Below are 16,816 nucleotides of genomic sequence, written 5' to 3' on the forward strand. Positions count from 1 at the left end.
CAGGGTGTTTCTTAATTAAGAGGAGGCTTGCACCTTAATGAGAACAGCAAGCTAAACCATAGGCCAGTTAGTTTACAAGGGAGAGCCAGAGGACAATGCAGGTAAAACGTGCCCTCCTGGAGTCATAACAGATATCACAGACTAGCCTCAAAAATTCAAATGGTCCTTAATTTAATTGGATCAGACTGTGGGGGCAATTTGTGCTCCACTGAGGAAATAACTCCAAAAAAAAACCCCATAAAAAAATAAATTAAAATGCTCTATTAGAAAATATTCACTTTGCCAGACGTTCCTCGCCGGGAGTCGTCGGGGTTTCCTGCTTCAACAGTGCTTGGACGGAACCCGGCGTTCGTCCCCCATCCCGGCCGGCCGCCCATAGCCAGTCCTCCGTCACCACTTCACCGCGCCCTCGGTACCGCCCCAAGGCCCGCCGCCGCTCCAGCGCCGCGCAGCCACCGCCGCCTCTCCTTAGCCGCCGCCGTGACGACCGCGTCCACCTCGCAGGTGCGCCAGAGCTACCACCAGGACTCAGAGGCCGTCATCAACCGCTAGATCAACCTGGAGCTCTACGCCTCCTACGTTTACCTGTCCATGTCTTACTACTTTGACCGCGATGATGTGGCTTTGAAGAACTTTGCCAAATACTTTCTTCACCAATCTCATGAGGAGAGGGAACATGCCGAGAAACTGATGACGTTGCAGAACCAACGAGGTGGCCGAATCTTCCTTCAGGATATCAAGAAACCAGACTGTGACGACTGGGAGAGCGGGCTGAATGCGATGGAGTGTGCATTACATTTGGGGAAAAAAAAATATGAGTCAGTCACTACTGGAACTGCACAAACTGGCCAGTGACAAAAATGACCCCCATTTGTGTGACTTCATTGAGACACATTACCTGAATGAGCAGGTGAAAGCCATCAAAGAATTGGGTGGCCACGTGACCAACTTGTGCAAGATGGGAGCACCCGAATCTGGCTCGGCAGAATATCTCTTTGACAAGCACACGCTGGGAGACAGTGATAACGAAAGCTAAGCCTCAGGCTAATTTCCCCATAGCCATGGGGTGACTTCCCTGGTCACCAAGGCAGTGCATGCATGTTGGGGTTTCCTTTACTTTTTCTATAAGTTGCACCACAACATCCAGAAAAAAGAAAATATTCACTTAATGCAAAATAAAGCAGAAAAGAAAGAATAGAGGAACAACAAAAATATTAGACATATAGAAAACAAATAGTAAAATGGCAGACATAAATTCGACTATATAAATAATAGCATTGAATGTGAATGGATTCGACAATCAAATAAAAACACAGAGTTGCAGGCCCGCTGCAGTGGCTCATGCCTGTAATCCCAGCACTTTGGGAGGCCAAGGCAGGTGGATCACCTGAGGTCAGAAGTTCAAAACCAGCCTGGCCAACATGGTGAAATGGTGTCTCTACTAAAAATACAAAATTAGCTGGGCGTGGTGGCGTGCACCTGTAATCCCAGCTACTCGAGAGGGTGAGCCAGGAGAATCACTTGAACCCAGGAAGCAGAGGGTGCAGTGAGTTGAGATTGCGTCATTGCACTCTAGCTTGGGCAAAAAGGGCGAAACTCCATCTCAAAAAAACAAAAAAAAAAACAGAGTTGCAGTTATAGTTGATAAAGAATACAGTCGAACTGTGTGCTCTCTATAGGAGGTGTTCATGCCTGTAATTCTAGCTGATGCGGGCAGATCACTTGAGCTCAGGAGTTCAAGACCAGCCTGGCCAACATGGTGAAACCTCATCTCTCCTAAAAACACAAAAATTAGCTGGGCGTGGTGGCATGTGCCTATAGTCCCAGCTACTCAGGAGACTGAGGCAGGAGAATTGCTTGAGCCCAGGAGGCGGAGATTGCAGTGAGCCAAGATCATGCCACTGCACTCCAGCCTGGGTAACAGGAGTGAAACCCTGTCTCAAAAAAAAAAAAAAGATATAAATAAGCAATTCATCAACAGTAGTAGGAGATATGAGTGCCCCTCTTTTCTTTTTCTTTTTCTTCTTCTTCTTTTTTTTTTTTTTTTTTTGACACAGGGTTTCACTCTGTCACCCAGGCTAGAGTACAGTGGTATGATCATGGCTCACTGCAGCCTTGACCTCCCAGGCTCAGGTGATCCTCCCACCTCAGCCTCTCAAGTAGCTGGGACTACAGGTGTGCACCACCAAGCCCAACTAATTTTCATACTTTTTGTAGAGATGGGGTTTCACCCTGTTGCCCAGGCTGGTCTCGAACCCCTGGGCTCAAGTGATCCACCTGCCTCAGCCTCCCAAAGTGCTAGGATTACAGGCATGAGCCACTGCACCCAGCTGCCTTACTTTCAATAATGGATTGAACAACTAGGCTGAATGTCAACACGGAAATAGAAGAACAACACCATAAACCAGCTGAACCAACCGACTTCTTTAGGACACTCCACCCAACACCAGTAGAATACGTTCTTGTGAGTGCACATGAAACTTTCTCCAGAATGGACCATATGTTGTACCATAAAAGAAGCTGTAAAAAGCATAAAAGGATTGAAGTTATACAATGTATGTTCTCTGACCACAGTGGAATGGAATTAGAAGTCAATAACAGAAAGAAATTTGGGAAGTTAACAAAAATGTAGAAATTAAGTAACATACTTCTTTATTTTTTTATTTTATTTTCTATTTTTTTTTTGAGACGGAGTCTTGCACTGTCCCCAGGCTGGAGTGCAGTGGCTCCATCTCCGCTCACTGCAAGCTCCGCCTCCCAGGTTCACCCCCCATTCTCCTGCCTCAGCTTGCCGAGTAGCTGGGACTACAGGTGCCCGTCACCACACATGGCTAATTTTTTGTATTTTTAGTAGAGACGGGGTTTCACCATGTTAGCCAGGATGGTCTCGATCTCCTGACCTCGTGATTCACCTGCCTCGGCCTCTCAAAGTGCTAGGATTACAGGCGTGAGCCACCGCGCCCGGCCTAAGTAACATACTTCTTTCTAAATAGCCAATTGCTTTAAGAAGAAACTACAAGGGAAACTACAATGAAAATGAAGATACAACATACCAGTACTTATGGCAGACACCTAACACAGGGTTTAGAGGGAAATTTATAAACTTCAGCAGTACAAATGAGGAAAGGCCTCAAGTCAATAGCCTAACCTTCCACTTTACAGCACCTCAGAAGAGCAAACTAAATCCAAGCAAGCAGAAGGATGGAAATAATAAAGATTCAACTGAAAATTAATGATACAGAGAAGAGAAAAAACAGTAGAGGAGTAACACCAAAACTAAAAATTGGTACTTTGAAAAGATCAACAAAATTGACAAACCTTTAGGTAGACTGAGCTAGAAAACAAGGGAAGACTCAAACTACTAAAATCAGGAAGGAAAGAGGGAACATAACTACCAACATTACCAAAATAAAAGGATTATAAAGCAATACTATGAATAATTGTATTTCAATCAATTAGGTAATTTAGATGAAATGGACAAATTTGAATTCTGTGGATTGTCTTTTAACTTTTTTTTTTTTTTTGAGATGGAGTTTTCTGGAGTGCAATGGCACGATCTTGGCTCACACCAACCTCCGCCTTCTGGGTTCAAGCAATTCTCTTGCCTCAGCCTCCCCAGTAGCTGTGATTACAGGTGCCCACCACCACGCCCAGCTAATTTTTTGTGTGTATTTTTAGTAGAGATGGGGTTTCACCATGTTGGCCAGGCTGGTCTCAAACTCCTAACCTCAGTTGATCCACCTGCCTCAGCCTCCCAAAGTGCTGGGATTACAGACATGAGCCACCGTACGTGGCCCACTTTAATAGTGTCATTGGCAACACAAAAGTATTTAATTTTGTTTAATTCAAAGTTATCTATTTCCATTTTTGTTGTACTTTTGGTGTCATATCTAAGAAACCATTGTTTAATCCAAAGTCATGCTTATTTCTGAACCAATCATTATGTCCAGGAAGACAGGATACTCAGATTGGCTTGACTTGAATCACATTCTCCTCCATGGGCCACAGGGGCCAACAACATTTAAGCCACATGGATTGGGTTTTACCACAAGAGAGTGGCTCTTGTCAGGAGATGGAGAAAGATATGAAGGGGAGGGCAAACAATAAACATCTGTTTGGCTTAACAATGAATAGTTATATAACATTTCTTCTCAGGCCTTCAGAGAGGTCCAGTTACTTTGTTAAGATGAGGAATATGAGATAATATACAAAGTGTGGCCTTTAGAAAATGTAATAGCCACAGTGTTAGGAAGCATTTAATGGAGACAAATTAATTTGAGATATTATTATATAGAGACAGTATGGTATAGTTGTTAAGACCCCAGGCTCTGGAAGCAGCCCAAATACATTTAAATCTTGTTTCTACCACTTACCACTTTGTAACCAGAAGAAATAATTTCAACTTTCCTTGCCTCCATTTACTCATCTGTAAAAAGAGAATAATAATATTGCCTATCTCATAGTGTTGTGAAAATTCAAATTAGTGAATACATTTAACACCCTTGGAAACAATGCCTGGCACATAGAAAGTGTTAGATACTATTTTTATTATTATACCTATTTTTTTAGGACTGATATGTAGCATGAAACTACTGAGACAGTTAATTCTCTTTCCGAAAAGGACTTTATCTTGATTAATAGCAACATCATTTTTTTTGACCCAGTCGGCCAAGCCATAACTAACCATGAACAATTGTAAACATGTCCCAGCAGGTAACGCTCCTATTAAAACATCAGTCACATTGTAGGGAATTGTCTTTTTGACTCCAGCATAATTAGCATCATAGTATTAGATGCTAATAGTTGCAGTAGTTGCTAGTAAATGCTAATAGATGCAATAGTTCTACAACTGAAGAGTCATTATATTTCTTACGAAGCCTAGTGTAAGAATCACAATAATATATGTTGATTACTTACTGTAACGTAGTTCTTTGGTTGAAAGTGATCATATATGATGTTGGCTATAGTAAGTACAAATATTAAGAAAAAAGAAAAATAAATGAACGTGATCATAATTGATTCAGGCTGAGTTAATCAGAAGAGAATTTGATTGAAAGGATGTTGGGGCTGGACACAGTGGCTCGTACCTGTAATCCCAACACTTTAGAAGGCCAAGATGGGAAGATGACTTGAGCCCAGGAGTTCAAGACCAGCCTGAGCAACAAAGTGACACCCTGTCTCTACAAAGAATTAACCGGGTGTGGTGGCACAGGTCTGTAGTCCCAGCAGCCTGGGGGGGCCGAGCTTGGAGGATCACTTGAGCTCCAGGAGATCGAGGCTGCAGATGAGCTGTGATGGCCCCACTGCACTCCAACTCGGGCAACAGAGTGAGATCCTGTCTCAAAAATTAAGAATAATAATAATAAAGAAAGGAAAGGATGTTGGGAGTTCTCAGAATGAAAGAGGAGCTTAGCCAGCTGGACTTGTGTTGGATTAAAGATGGCAAGGAAATTATTTGTATTTGTATTCATTCTTTCCTAAAACTATACAAAAATTGATAGTTAATTTTAATTTTATTCTTTTTTTTTTTTTTTTTTTGAGACAGGGTCTTGCTCTGTCACCCAGGCTAGAGTGTAGTGGTGTGATCACAGCTTATTGAAGCCTCAACCTCCTCCTGGGTTCAAGTGATCCTTCCATCTCAGCCTCTGGAGTAGCTGGGACTGCAGGTGTGCACCACCATGCCAGGCTAATTTTTGTATTTTTTTGTAGAGATAGGGTCTTGCTGTATTGCCCTGGCTGGTCTTAAACTCCTGGGCTCAAGCAGTCTGCCCGCCTCAGTCTCCCAAAGTGCTGGGATTATAGGCACCAGCCACCACACCTAGCTGATAATTAATTTTTTTAATAGCATAAATATATTCTAGGACAACCAGAATAGTATTTACCAACCTTGACTTGAGACAGCTAAATCTTTAACCAGCAGTGGGAAAAACGCAGAAGCAAATGATATATATGGCAAAAAGACCCCCAAAGCCAATGAATTAGCGGCATCCACTATGTCTGGAGATGGCAATGAAGATGAACCTAAAATCAGGAGGTGTAGTTACATTTATGTTTGAAAAGCAGTTACGCCTTCAGATTGCCTGTTTCATACTGTTTAACTTGGAATTTGATTCTCCCTTGGGCAAAATATTGGAAATTCAGTTTCTAAAGAAAGTAAAACAGGGGGTCTCTGGACTAGGAGAATCCAGGCACAGTTAAGGATATTATGTTGAAAACATGAGATTCAGTAAAAAACTTACACATGAATGTTAAGACCCCAGGCCTGTTTCTACCATGTAGAGCCCAGAACCTTGCAAAGAAAATTACAGAGATTTGGAAGCATATCTATGGAGATTTAAGAACACTGACATGGAAGGATTCCCCATTAGAGTGGCCCACAGATCTTCCTCCAATGATGTGCATAGCTGACAGGCTTACTCCACCTACTTCCAAACAGCTGGAATATGAATAGAGATCCAGTGATTGCTAGACATTTGAAGAAACCCTCTAATAGGAAAGACAGGGTTCAAAACAAACAAAGGGAGCTTATCAACCTACAGAAAATCATATATGGAAGATGAATAAAACTTCTAAAGAAATTATTATTAGGATCCTAGAGGAATAAAATAAAACACAATATGTATTAAAGAAGCATGGGATTCTATGTCAAGAATGGAATATTTAGAGGATTAAAAAAACCTCTTGTACATTAAAAGTACAGCAGAATAGAACTCAATAGAAGAACTGGGAAAATTGAACTCTTTCTGAAAGTACAGCAAAAAACAAAAACTAAATAGAAGGAGAATAGCAATAAAATGATCAGAAACTTAGAGGACTGGTTCAACATCTGAACAATAGGAGCTCTGGAAAGAAAAATCAACGCACAGGATAGGGAATCAACCGTGAAATTAATTCAAGAAAATTTCCCAGAACAAGCAGACATAAATTCCCAGATTGAGAGAATCCATCAGAAGACATCACATATAATGGAAAAAACCATACCGTATCAGGCATATTGACTGAACTTTCAGAACAACAGGTGAAATAGAAGATAATATTAGCTATCAGAAAGGGAAGAAAAAGTCACATTCCCCAAACCAGAAATCAAAAGGACTTCAAACTCTTCAACAGTAGTGGGCAAAGTGCCAAAATATTGGAGCAATACCTTTAAAATTCACAGGCAACATTATTTTCAATCTAGAATTCTATACTCAACCAAACTACAAATTAAGTGTCTAGGTCGCAAGACATTTTCAGATGTGCACCGCTTCAAAATATTTACCTCCTGTGAGTCTTCTGTAATTCCTTCTGTGAGTCTAATGTACTCCACTGAAATGGAGTACATTAAGAAATATGAAGATGTGAGATCCTAGAAGCAGGGAATACTACTCAAAGGGGACGTGAAAGGAGTATCAGGGGAAAGGAGATGATAGCTGCACAGCATCCTGGTTGGAGAAAATCAGGAAGCCCGCCGGGCGCGGTGGCTCACGTCTGTAATCCCAGCACTTTGGGAGGCCAAAGTGGGTGGATCACGAGGTCAGGAGATCAAGACCATCCTAGCTAACACAGTGAAACTCCATCTCTACTAAAAATACAAAAAATTAGCCAGGTGTGGTGGCACGCGCCTGTAGTCCCAGCTATTTCCCGAGGCTGAGGCAGGAGAATTGCTTGAACCTGGGAGGCGGAGGTTGCAGTGAGCCAAGATTGCGCCATTGCGCTCCAGCCTGGGTGACAGAGCAAGACTCCATCTCAAAAAAAAGAAAAAAAAAAAAAAAGAAAAAGAAGAGAAAATCAGGAAGTCGTGGAAGAAACTTTAATAAACATAGAAAACTGGCCAGCACAGTGGCTCATGCCTATAATCCCAGCACTTTGGGAGGCCGAGGCAGATGAATCACTTGAGACTAGCCTGGCCAACATGGTGAAACTCTGTCTCTACTAAAAATACAAAAATTAGCCAAGTGTGGTGTAGTATGCCTGTAGTCCCAGCTACTCGGGAGGCTGAGGCAGGAGAATCACCTGAACCCAGGAGGCAGAAGATGTAGTGAGCTGAGATCGCACCATTGCACTCCAGTCTGGGTGACAGAGTGAGACTCCATCTCAAAAAACAACAACAACAAAAAAACAACAAAAAAAAACCGAAACAAATTAACAACAGCAAAAAGAGTCATTAATTCCAGGAAAAACACTTGTACAGAGAGGGAAAGTATTGCTACTCATTTTGTGGCTTCACTGGAAATAATGTTTTCATGGCCATCATAATACTGTGTATTGATCTAAATGATATTTTGATACAATTGTATTGGGGGATGGGAAGGTATATGTGTGGGGTTGGGAATTTGTGTGAAAGAGAGCTAAAACCTATTCTTCCAGGGTAGGAAGTTAATAGATAAGGTATATTATTTAGACACACAGAGGTATATACCTACAGAATCAATTTAAATAATTGGAATTGGTGGTTTTCTCTGGGAAGAAAATAGTAGAGAATATGGTGGAGGACATAGAGGAAGGACCATTTTTACTTCTTTTTCCATATGTCTGCCTACCTATCTATGTATATTATTTACTAAGTTTTGGTTAACTATTTGACTATTCTGAGTTTCCCCTAATTGCGAGGAATAACCCACCAGTGACTCTTGGAACCAGTTTAGTGGATTATTATCAGCTTTTTTTTAAAAAAAGAAATAGAATAGAATAAATATGCATTGCATTTAGTAAAAACAAGTATTCTTTTTGACATTTCTGTCTTATATATTTATGTATGCATAAACTAGAATTGTGATGAAAATGCGTTTTTTACTATGAGGTACAGTTGAAAATAGTTTAAGAAATGCTGCTTTAAAATATGTCTTCAGGACATAACACTGAAAAAAGGGAAATGTATGGTAGGTGGCCAATGACCACCCAATGCCTACTGCACTTAACCCAGGCTGCGATCTTTAGGTTTATGATTTCATTAACTCTTCCCCAACTCTTTGAGGAATATGCTCATTTGCATCCTCTTTACAAATGAGGAAACTGAAATTGAGGAAAACTAAATCCTTTTCCTGGGGTAAATCTTGGAGTCTGGATTGAAGCCCAAGATTCTCCTAAAGAATAGTCATTCTGCCCTACTTCTTAGAATATTAGTGACAGCATTTTCTCCTCTACTTGTAGAAGACATTCCTAAAGTGTTCCCAAAATACCTCCTTAGGAAAATTCCCCTGAACCTTCCATTCTTTAACTGTTAAATGGATAAAGAAAAAAGAAATAGAACATATGTCTTTGCTCAGACTCGCCAGTTTAGTGAGGTGTTTGTATTTATCATTGCTCCCCATCCCTGCTTTAGTTTTCCATATCCTACCATCTTCAAAGTTGGAATACTACACACTTTACTCATTTATTTTTTCGCTTTTCTCAGGAGCATGTAAGCCCTCTCAGGGCAAGGATCTTTAATCTTGGCCAGGCATGGTGGTTCATGCCTACAGTCCCAGCATTTTGGGAGGCAGAGGTGGGAGGATGCTTGAGGCCAGGAGTTCAAGACTGGCCTGGGCAACACAGTGAGATCCTCTCTACAAAAATTTAATTTTAAAAAAAGAAAAAAATGTAAAAGGTCTTTGATCTTCTGCACCTACAGAAATATTTGGTACATACTAACAGAAGGCACTCTGTAAAACTCTTTTGATGGATGAATGGGTGGAAGGAAAGATGGATGTATAGATGGATAGGGGGATGGACAATGGATGGAAAGACGGACAAATGGATGGATGGTCTTATAAAAAGGGCTTTAACCACTGCTTCAAAAAGTGACAGAGAGGATTTAAAGATATAACTTATAAAAGTGCTGAGCCCTGAACCCAGTGTCTACTCAGTAAATGTTGGCTATATTAGAGTCTCAAATATAAGAAAAGGGAAAAGCTTCTTTGAAAATCAGTCTAATTTGAGTAAAGAGCTACAGTTCCTTGTGATCCAATGATCCTGTTTTCAGCAACACATTCTCTGGGGAGGCACCATCTGACTAAGAAACTAGACTCTGCTTTAAATGACAGTTGCCATGGCTAACGGAATGTCTACAGCCAACAAGGAAAGATACTGTGTGCTTGCTGGCTGGGATTGCAACACCTGATAAGAGGAGGAAGCAAGCCAAAAGCAAGCATGGAAGCAGATGGAACATCTTAGAGAGCCATTATCTCAGAACATGCCGGAGAAACCAGATACTTTTCAGTTACGCAAGGCCTGTGGAAAACGTCCTGCATGCAGTTCTAACAGTTGGCCACACAGCTGAAATGATGAAATCAAAGACCAAACACAAGTTTAATGAGCCAGAATTTTAGAAGAACCATCTTGAACAAAGCCATCATTGCTTTGCTCAACTCAGAAGCAATCAGAATCTTGTTTGCAAAGACTAAACTGATCAGAAGAGGCTACTTCATTGATTGGTGCATGCCTGAATGCAGCCATGACATTGGTACACCCTGCTCTTTGTTAGAACGTCACAAAAATGAATATGTAAGTTATATGTAATTCCACAAGGGGGCACAATAGAAACAAAAATAAAAATTGATAGGCTTTAATTTTCTCCTGTGCCACCCCATTTTAAGGTAATAATTTAACAAAATGAGCAATCTTAAAATCTCAGATTAAAACAGTGTGGAACACTACTTAAGAATGCATATTTATTTTATTACAAACTCCCAATTATATATATATTTTAAAACAGAAAAGATCATGACCAGCCTGGCCAACATGGTGAAACCCTGTCTCTACTAAAAATACAAAAATTAGCCGGGCGTGGTGGCACCCAGCTACCTGGGAGGCTGAGGCAGGAGAATTATTTGAACCCAGGAGGCAGAGGTTGCAGTGAGCCGAGATCACACCACTGCACTCCAGCCTGGGTGACAGAGCAAGACTTTCAAAAACAACAACAACTACAACAACAAAACAGAAAAGGAAGCATTATATAGCAACATTATTTTCCAAGTATTCATTATTCTCTAAACTATCTTAAACTATTTCAAGAATATCAAAGAGGATACTTGAGAATATGCAGCATCAAACAGAATGTTCTTTGTTGTCTGCACACATAAAATTAAAGGGAAGTATCTCAAAGTAGACAATTAGAAAGTATGGCATGTATAGTATGATTCTATAGGTAGTCTTTTCTTTCCTTTTTTTTTTTTTTAAACATGGGTCTCAGTCTGTCGCCCAGGCTGGAGTGCAGTGGTGCTATCAGAGCTCACTGCAGCCTCAACCTCCCCAGGCTCAGGTGATTCCCTCACCTCAGCCTCCTGAGTAGCTGAGACTACAGGCATGCACCACCACACCTGGCTAATTTTTGTATTTTTTGTAGAGATAAGGTTTTGCCATGTTGCCCAGGCTATTCTTGAACTCCTAGGCTCAAGCAATCCACTCCGCCTGCCTTGGCCTCCCAGAGTGCTAGGATTACAGACTTGAGCCACTGCACTCAGCCAGTATTTTTTAAATGCAAAGAAATGGCCAGGCGCTGTGGCTCACACCTTTAATCCCAGCTACCTGGGAGGCTGAGGCAGGAGGATTGCCTAAGCCCAGGAGGTGGAGGCTGCAATGAGCCATGATTGTGTCACTGTACTCCAGCCTGGGTGACAGAACAAGACCTTACCTCAAAAAAGTAAATAAAATGAAAATGCAAAAATGTATGTGTTCGTGTGTGTTTATAAACATTTACACATACAACCATTTATTCGGTAATATTTATTGAGCCTCAGTTATGTGACTGGCCCTAGAAGTATGACTGTGAATAAGATATCCAAATATCCTAATCTCATGGAGCTTATATCCAAGTCAGAAAAGAATGACAAAAAGCAAGTAAATTAGTTAATTTCAGGCAGTAATAAGAATTACAGAAAAAAGAGTTTAAAGAGTGATGGATTGATTGAGTTGAGATCTGACTTCCTGGCCATATGAAGACCCCATGGAACAGACTGGGATGAGGTTCACTGTTAATGTTGGTTAATTCTGAAGAGAGAGCGGGGGTTGGTTATGGGGGTTTGGAGTGGTGGTGTGGTGAGGATAAGGACAGGTAAAGAGCAACTTGAACTTACTCTGTTGATTGCTGAATTGTTTGTATGTTTTTACAACACACATGCATGAATTTGTGTATTGTGGAATTCAGACAACTCGTGTTTTGTTTGTTTGTTTGTTTCTGAGACAGGGTCTCCCTCTGTCATCCAGGCTAGAGTGCAGTGGTGCAATCATGGCTCATTGCAGCCTCCACCTCCTGAGCTCAGAGGACCCTCCTGTCTCAGCCTCCTGAGTAGCTGGAATTACCCACCCAAACTACCACACCTGACTAATTTTTTAATTTTTTGTAAAGATTGGATCTGTATGTTGCCCAGGCTGGAACTGAACTCCTGGCCTCAAGCAATACTCCCACCTCGGTCTCCCAAAGTGCTGGGATTACAGGCATGAGCCACCGCACTGGCCCAATTTTTAAAAATAGTAAACCAGTAAGAAAGAGAAAAAAGACAAAGAGCATCAGAGCTTTACGTAATGTATGCAAGCTATCTGTTCACATTTGCAAAGACATTCGCATGCACCAGAAGTACAGAGCCGTGAAGGTATAGGCCTCTTTCTGACCATGTGTTCTGGGTCTGCATGTATTTACAATTAAGACAAAAAATAAAGGTGGCAATGATAATAGAGAAAAGGGTTATTATATTATCCTGTTTACTCATCTCCCTGCTACATGTGTCTCTATTCTCCTGTTACTACTCCTGCATTTTTGGTTTTTGAATGCTATCCTCATCAGATGGATTCTGGCCCAGAATCCTCCTAGAGTCCCTGTTGCAGAGTCAAGTCCAGGCCTCTGGGCCTGATGTTGAGGGCCCTTTGCATTCTGAGTTTACATACTAACTTTCAGCATTATTCCAAGTCATGAATTTCCCATTCCAGCCACTCTAGTGTGTGTCACTCTTTCCCAGATGCTGTGCACATTACCCTCTGCCATACTGTTGCCTGGAGACAATAACCTGGCCATTCTACGCCCCTACCTCCAGCCTCACTTATTAAAATCACACCTAGTAATCTTAGCCCAACACCCTAGTAATCTAAGCTCAGAATTCTCTTTGCCTTTAACAAATTATTTCTCACAGGCAGACACACACACACATACACACATGCCCGCACAGTCCTGAGATCAGTGTCAATGTGGACTCATGTTTTTTTAAATAAATATATAGGTACAGATAAGTAAAGAAGTAATTATGGATACTCAACATCTGTGAAAAAAAGGAAAAGATAAAAATAAGAAAAAGAAGTAATTATGGATATGTATGTATACATGGGTTTGTATACATACATGTATTTCCTAGCTCTGTCTACTGTTAGGAGGCTAGAAGCAGTGACACCTGAGTAGCAATGAACACACCTAGCACCTAGATATTGGTTTCTGAATTCCATCCTCCAAAGGAACCCAGGGCTCCTGGGAGAACTGTTCATTCCTGGCTGAAGGCAGGGAAAATGCAAGATGCCCCTGGAGTTAACCTTATGGTGCCAGAAGGTAAGGATGTGCTAAAAAATATTTTTTAATAATAAAAATAATTTTTAAAAGGAGGGGGTTCATATTGGAAGAGGTAGGAGCCAACCTGAAAGAGCTCCAAATGACTTGAGCTGGAACAACTTGAGCAACAAAATAAATAATGATAGTATTTAATTATAACACTTAAAATAATTTTTCATAAGTCCACACCAATCTAAATAAATAACTGAATTAAAAAAATAAATACATAACTGAATAAATAAATAAATAAATGGAGAAAAATCACACCTCTTCCTTATAGAAAATTCCAGTTAATACATGTAGAAAGAAGGAGGCAAATAGAAAATCATTGTTAGAGCACCATAGTAATAATTACTGCGGGTAAGATCTACCTGTGAATGCTAAAATTAAGGAGTGAAAGTTTAACCAGAAACATGATATTTGTATGATTTTTAAAGTATCTCCTCCAAAATATTTAGTAAAGAAAAAGGGGAAATCCTTAGTTGACTGTGGAGAATATTGTCAGACTCCACCTTTGCCAAGCAATCAAGACTGATATCACTTGGCCCGGTCAACATCGTATATGCCCAGGCGTGTTTCACCTCTGTTCTTCCCAATAAAGCATAACCTCAATCTAAACATGCGAAAACATCAGACACCCAAATTGAGGGACTTTGTTCTAAATAACCGGCCAGTGTTTTCAAAGCTGTCCAGGTTATAAAAAAAAAAAAAAAGGAAAGGCTGAGAAATTGTTACAGATTGGAGGAGACTAAGGAGATGTGACAAATAAATTCAGTGTTTGGATCTTGGAACTGAAAGAGGAGATTTGTGGAAAAACTGGTGACATCTGAATAAGTTCTTTAGTTTATTTAGTAGTATTTATACCAGGGTTAATTTCTTAGATTTGATTACTGTTCTCTTGTTATGTAAGATGTTAACACAAGAGAAAGCTGAGTGAAGAATATATGGGAACTCTCTGAACTTTTTACACCTCTTCTGTAAATTTAAAATGATCTCACAATAAAAAATTTAAAAACACAGCCAGACACAGTGGGTGAAAATCAGCACAGTCAAGCAGCTTTGACAACACATTTTACCCAAAGAGATGTGTGTTTCAGAAATGATGGATGCTTCAAAAAGGAAAAGGGGGAAAAAGGAGGACAGGGACCTCATATAATTACAGAAATTAAGTATTATCTTGGAATAACTTCTCAAAATGTATTTGGCTTAAGGAAGTGAAAATTTACAAAGATAAAAATGGGTGAATAAATACAATAGAGTACACATAAAGCAATCTTTATTTTAACTGAAAAAATGCAGTAATGGTATCTGTATTTCTCTTTTTCCTTTTTTTTTTTTTTGGAGACAGGGTCTCCCTCTGTTGCCCAGGCTGGAGTGCAGTGGCATGAACATGCCTCACTCTAGACTTGATCTCCTGAGCTCAAGTGATCCTCCCTCCTCAGCCTCCCGAGTAGCTGGGACCACAGGCACGCCCCACCACGCCTGGCTAACTTTTTATTTTTTTGTAGAGATGGGGTTTCACCATGTTGCCCAGGCTGGTCTGGAACTCCTGGCCTCAAGTGATCCTCCTGCCTTGGCCTCCCAAAGTGCTGGGATTACAGGCGTGATTACAGCACCCAGCCTCTTTTTCCTGTTCTTTATTATGATAAATAGAAATCACATAAAATGTACCATTTTAACCATATCTAAGTGTCCAGTTCTGTGGCATTAAGGACAGACACACTGTTGTGCTAAAATGTTTGCATCTTCCCGAGCTGAAACTAGTGTCTGTATTGCTTGCACCTTTCCATTGAGAGCATCATTTTTTTTTTTTAGAGGTGGAGCCTTGCTATGTTGCCCAGGCTAGTCTCAAACTCCTGGGCTCAAGCTGTCCTCCCATTTTGGCCTTCCAAAGTGCTGGGATTACAGGCGTGAGCCACCATGCCTGGCTGGGAGCATCATTTCTTTAGTTATAATTTGATTTTTTATACATCAAGACTGTGACTTTCTGATTCTGTATAGATTAATAGTTGATATTTTCATTATATTCAAGTCTTTTTGTTTGTTTGTTTAAAGACAGGGTCTCTTTCTCTCACCCAGGCTGGAGTGCAGTAGTGTGATCATAGTTCACTGCAGCCTCAACCTCCTGGGTTCAAGCAATCCTCCTGCCTCAGCCTCCCAAGTAGCTAGGACCACAGGCACATGTCACCACACCTGGCTCTTTTTTTTTCTTTTTTTTTTTGAGACTGTCTGGCTCTGTTGCCCAGGCTGGAGTGCAGTGACACAATCTCAGTTTACTGCAACCTCCAACTCCCAGGTTCAAGTGATTCTCCTGCCTCAGCCTCCCGAGTAGCTGGGATTACAAACGTGTGCCACCATGCCCAGCTAATTTTTGTATTTTTAGTGGAGATGGGGTTTCACCATCTTGGCCAGGCTGGTCTTGAACTCCTGACCTCGAGTGATCCGCCCGCCTCAGCCTCCAAAAGTGCTGGGAGTACACCGCACCCGGCCCCAGCTGTTTGTTTTTTATGTATGTAGGTGATATCTTCTCTTGGCACAAAAAGAGTGTTTCTCTTTTTCTTCTGAAACTGTTGTTTGCTCTTCTCTGTTTCCACCTCCTGAATTAATCCTCTTTAATATTTCCTCTCTCTCCTGATTATCAGCAGGCTCATTTTCCAAAGTTTCCCTCTCTGAAATTCACTTCTGCTTGAATCTGAATGACAACTTTGTCTTTGCTTCTGTTCTTTTCCTCCCCTAGCTCTCTTTCTAGCCCTTTAGTTTGCAGGGCATTTTCGAAATGCATGAGAGGTAAGGAAGTGGAATGATGTGCGTAGCAACCTAGCTGTCTTGTCAACAGAGGCCTAGAGGGTGACGTCCCAGACATGCAAGCAAAAGCAGGATATTCCCGTGATTGGCAATGCAGTGGTTTTCCTTCATGAACTTGAGTCTTCTGCACTTCATTTGTTCACAGATCTTCTCGTCACTTAGAACCTGTCCTTCTCTTCTACAATCAGCCTCAAAGCGTATTTAAAATTATAGTGGTTATCCATCCTGGCTAACACGGTGAAACCCTGTCTCTACTAAAACTACAAAAAAAAAAAAAAAATCAGCCGGGTGTGGTGGCAGGCGCCTGTAGTCCCTGCTACTAAGGAGGCTGAGGCAGGAGAATGGTGTGAACCCGGGAGGCGGAGCTTGCAGCGAGCTGAGATCGCGCCACTGCACTCCAGCCTGGGCGACTGAGCAAGACTCCATCTCAAAAAATAAAAAAATAAAAATAAAATAAAATAATAGTGTTTCTGAGTGAGCTCAACAGTTGAATTCCTTAGCTTGTGTAAATATTTATTG

The 16,816-nt window shown here is 41.0% G+C and overlaps 1 protein-coding gene and 1 pseudogene across 2 annotated transcripts in view; both read left to right on the forward strand.

Moving 5' to 3' along the window:
• The window catches only part of GXYLT2 (glucoside xylosyltransferase 2), an 88,870-nt gene that overhangs the window by 40,516 nt on the left and 31,538 nt on the right, over positions 1 to 16,816 (forward strand). The window lies entirely within an intron of this gene.
• On the forward strand, positions 282 to 1,146 carry FTH1P23 (ferritin heavy chain 1 pseudogene 23; annotated as a pseudogene).

This window comes from Homo sapiens, chromosome 3 (genome assembly GCF_000001405.40).
Source record: "Homo sapiens chromosome 3, GRCh38.p14 Primary Assembly".
Taxonomy (NCBI): Eukaryota; Metazoa; Chordata; class Mammalia; order Primates; family Hominidae; genus Homo; species Homo sapiens.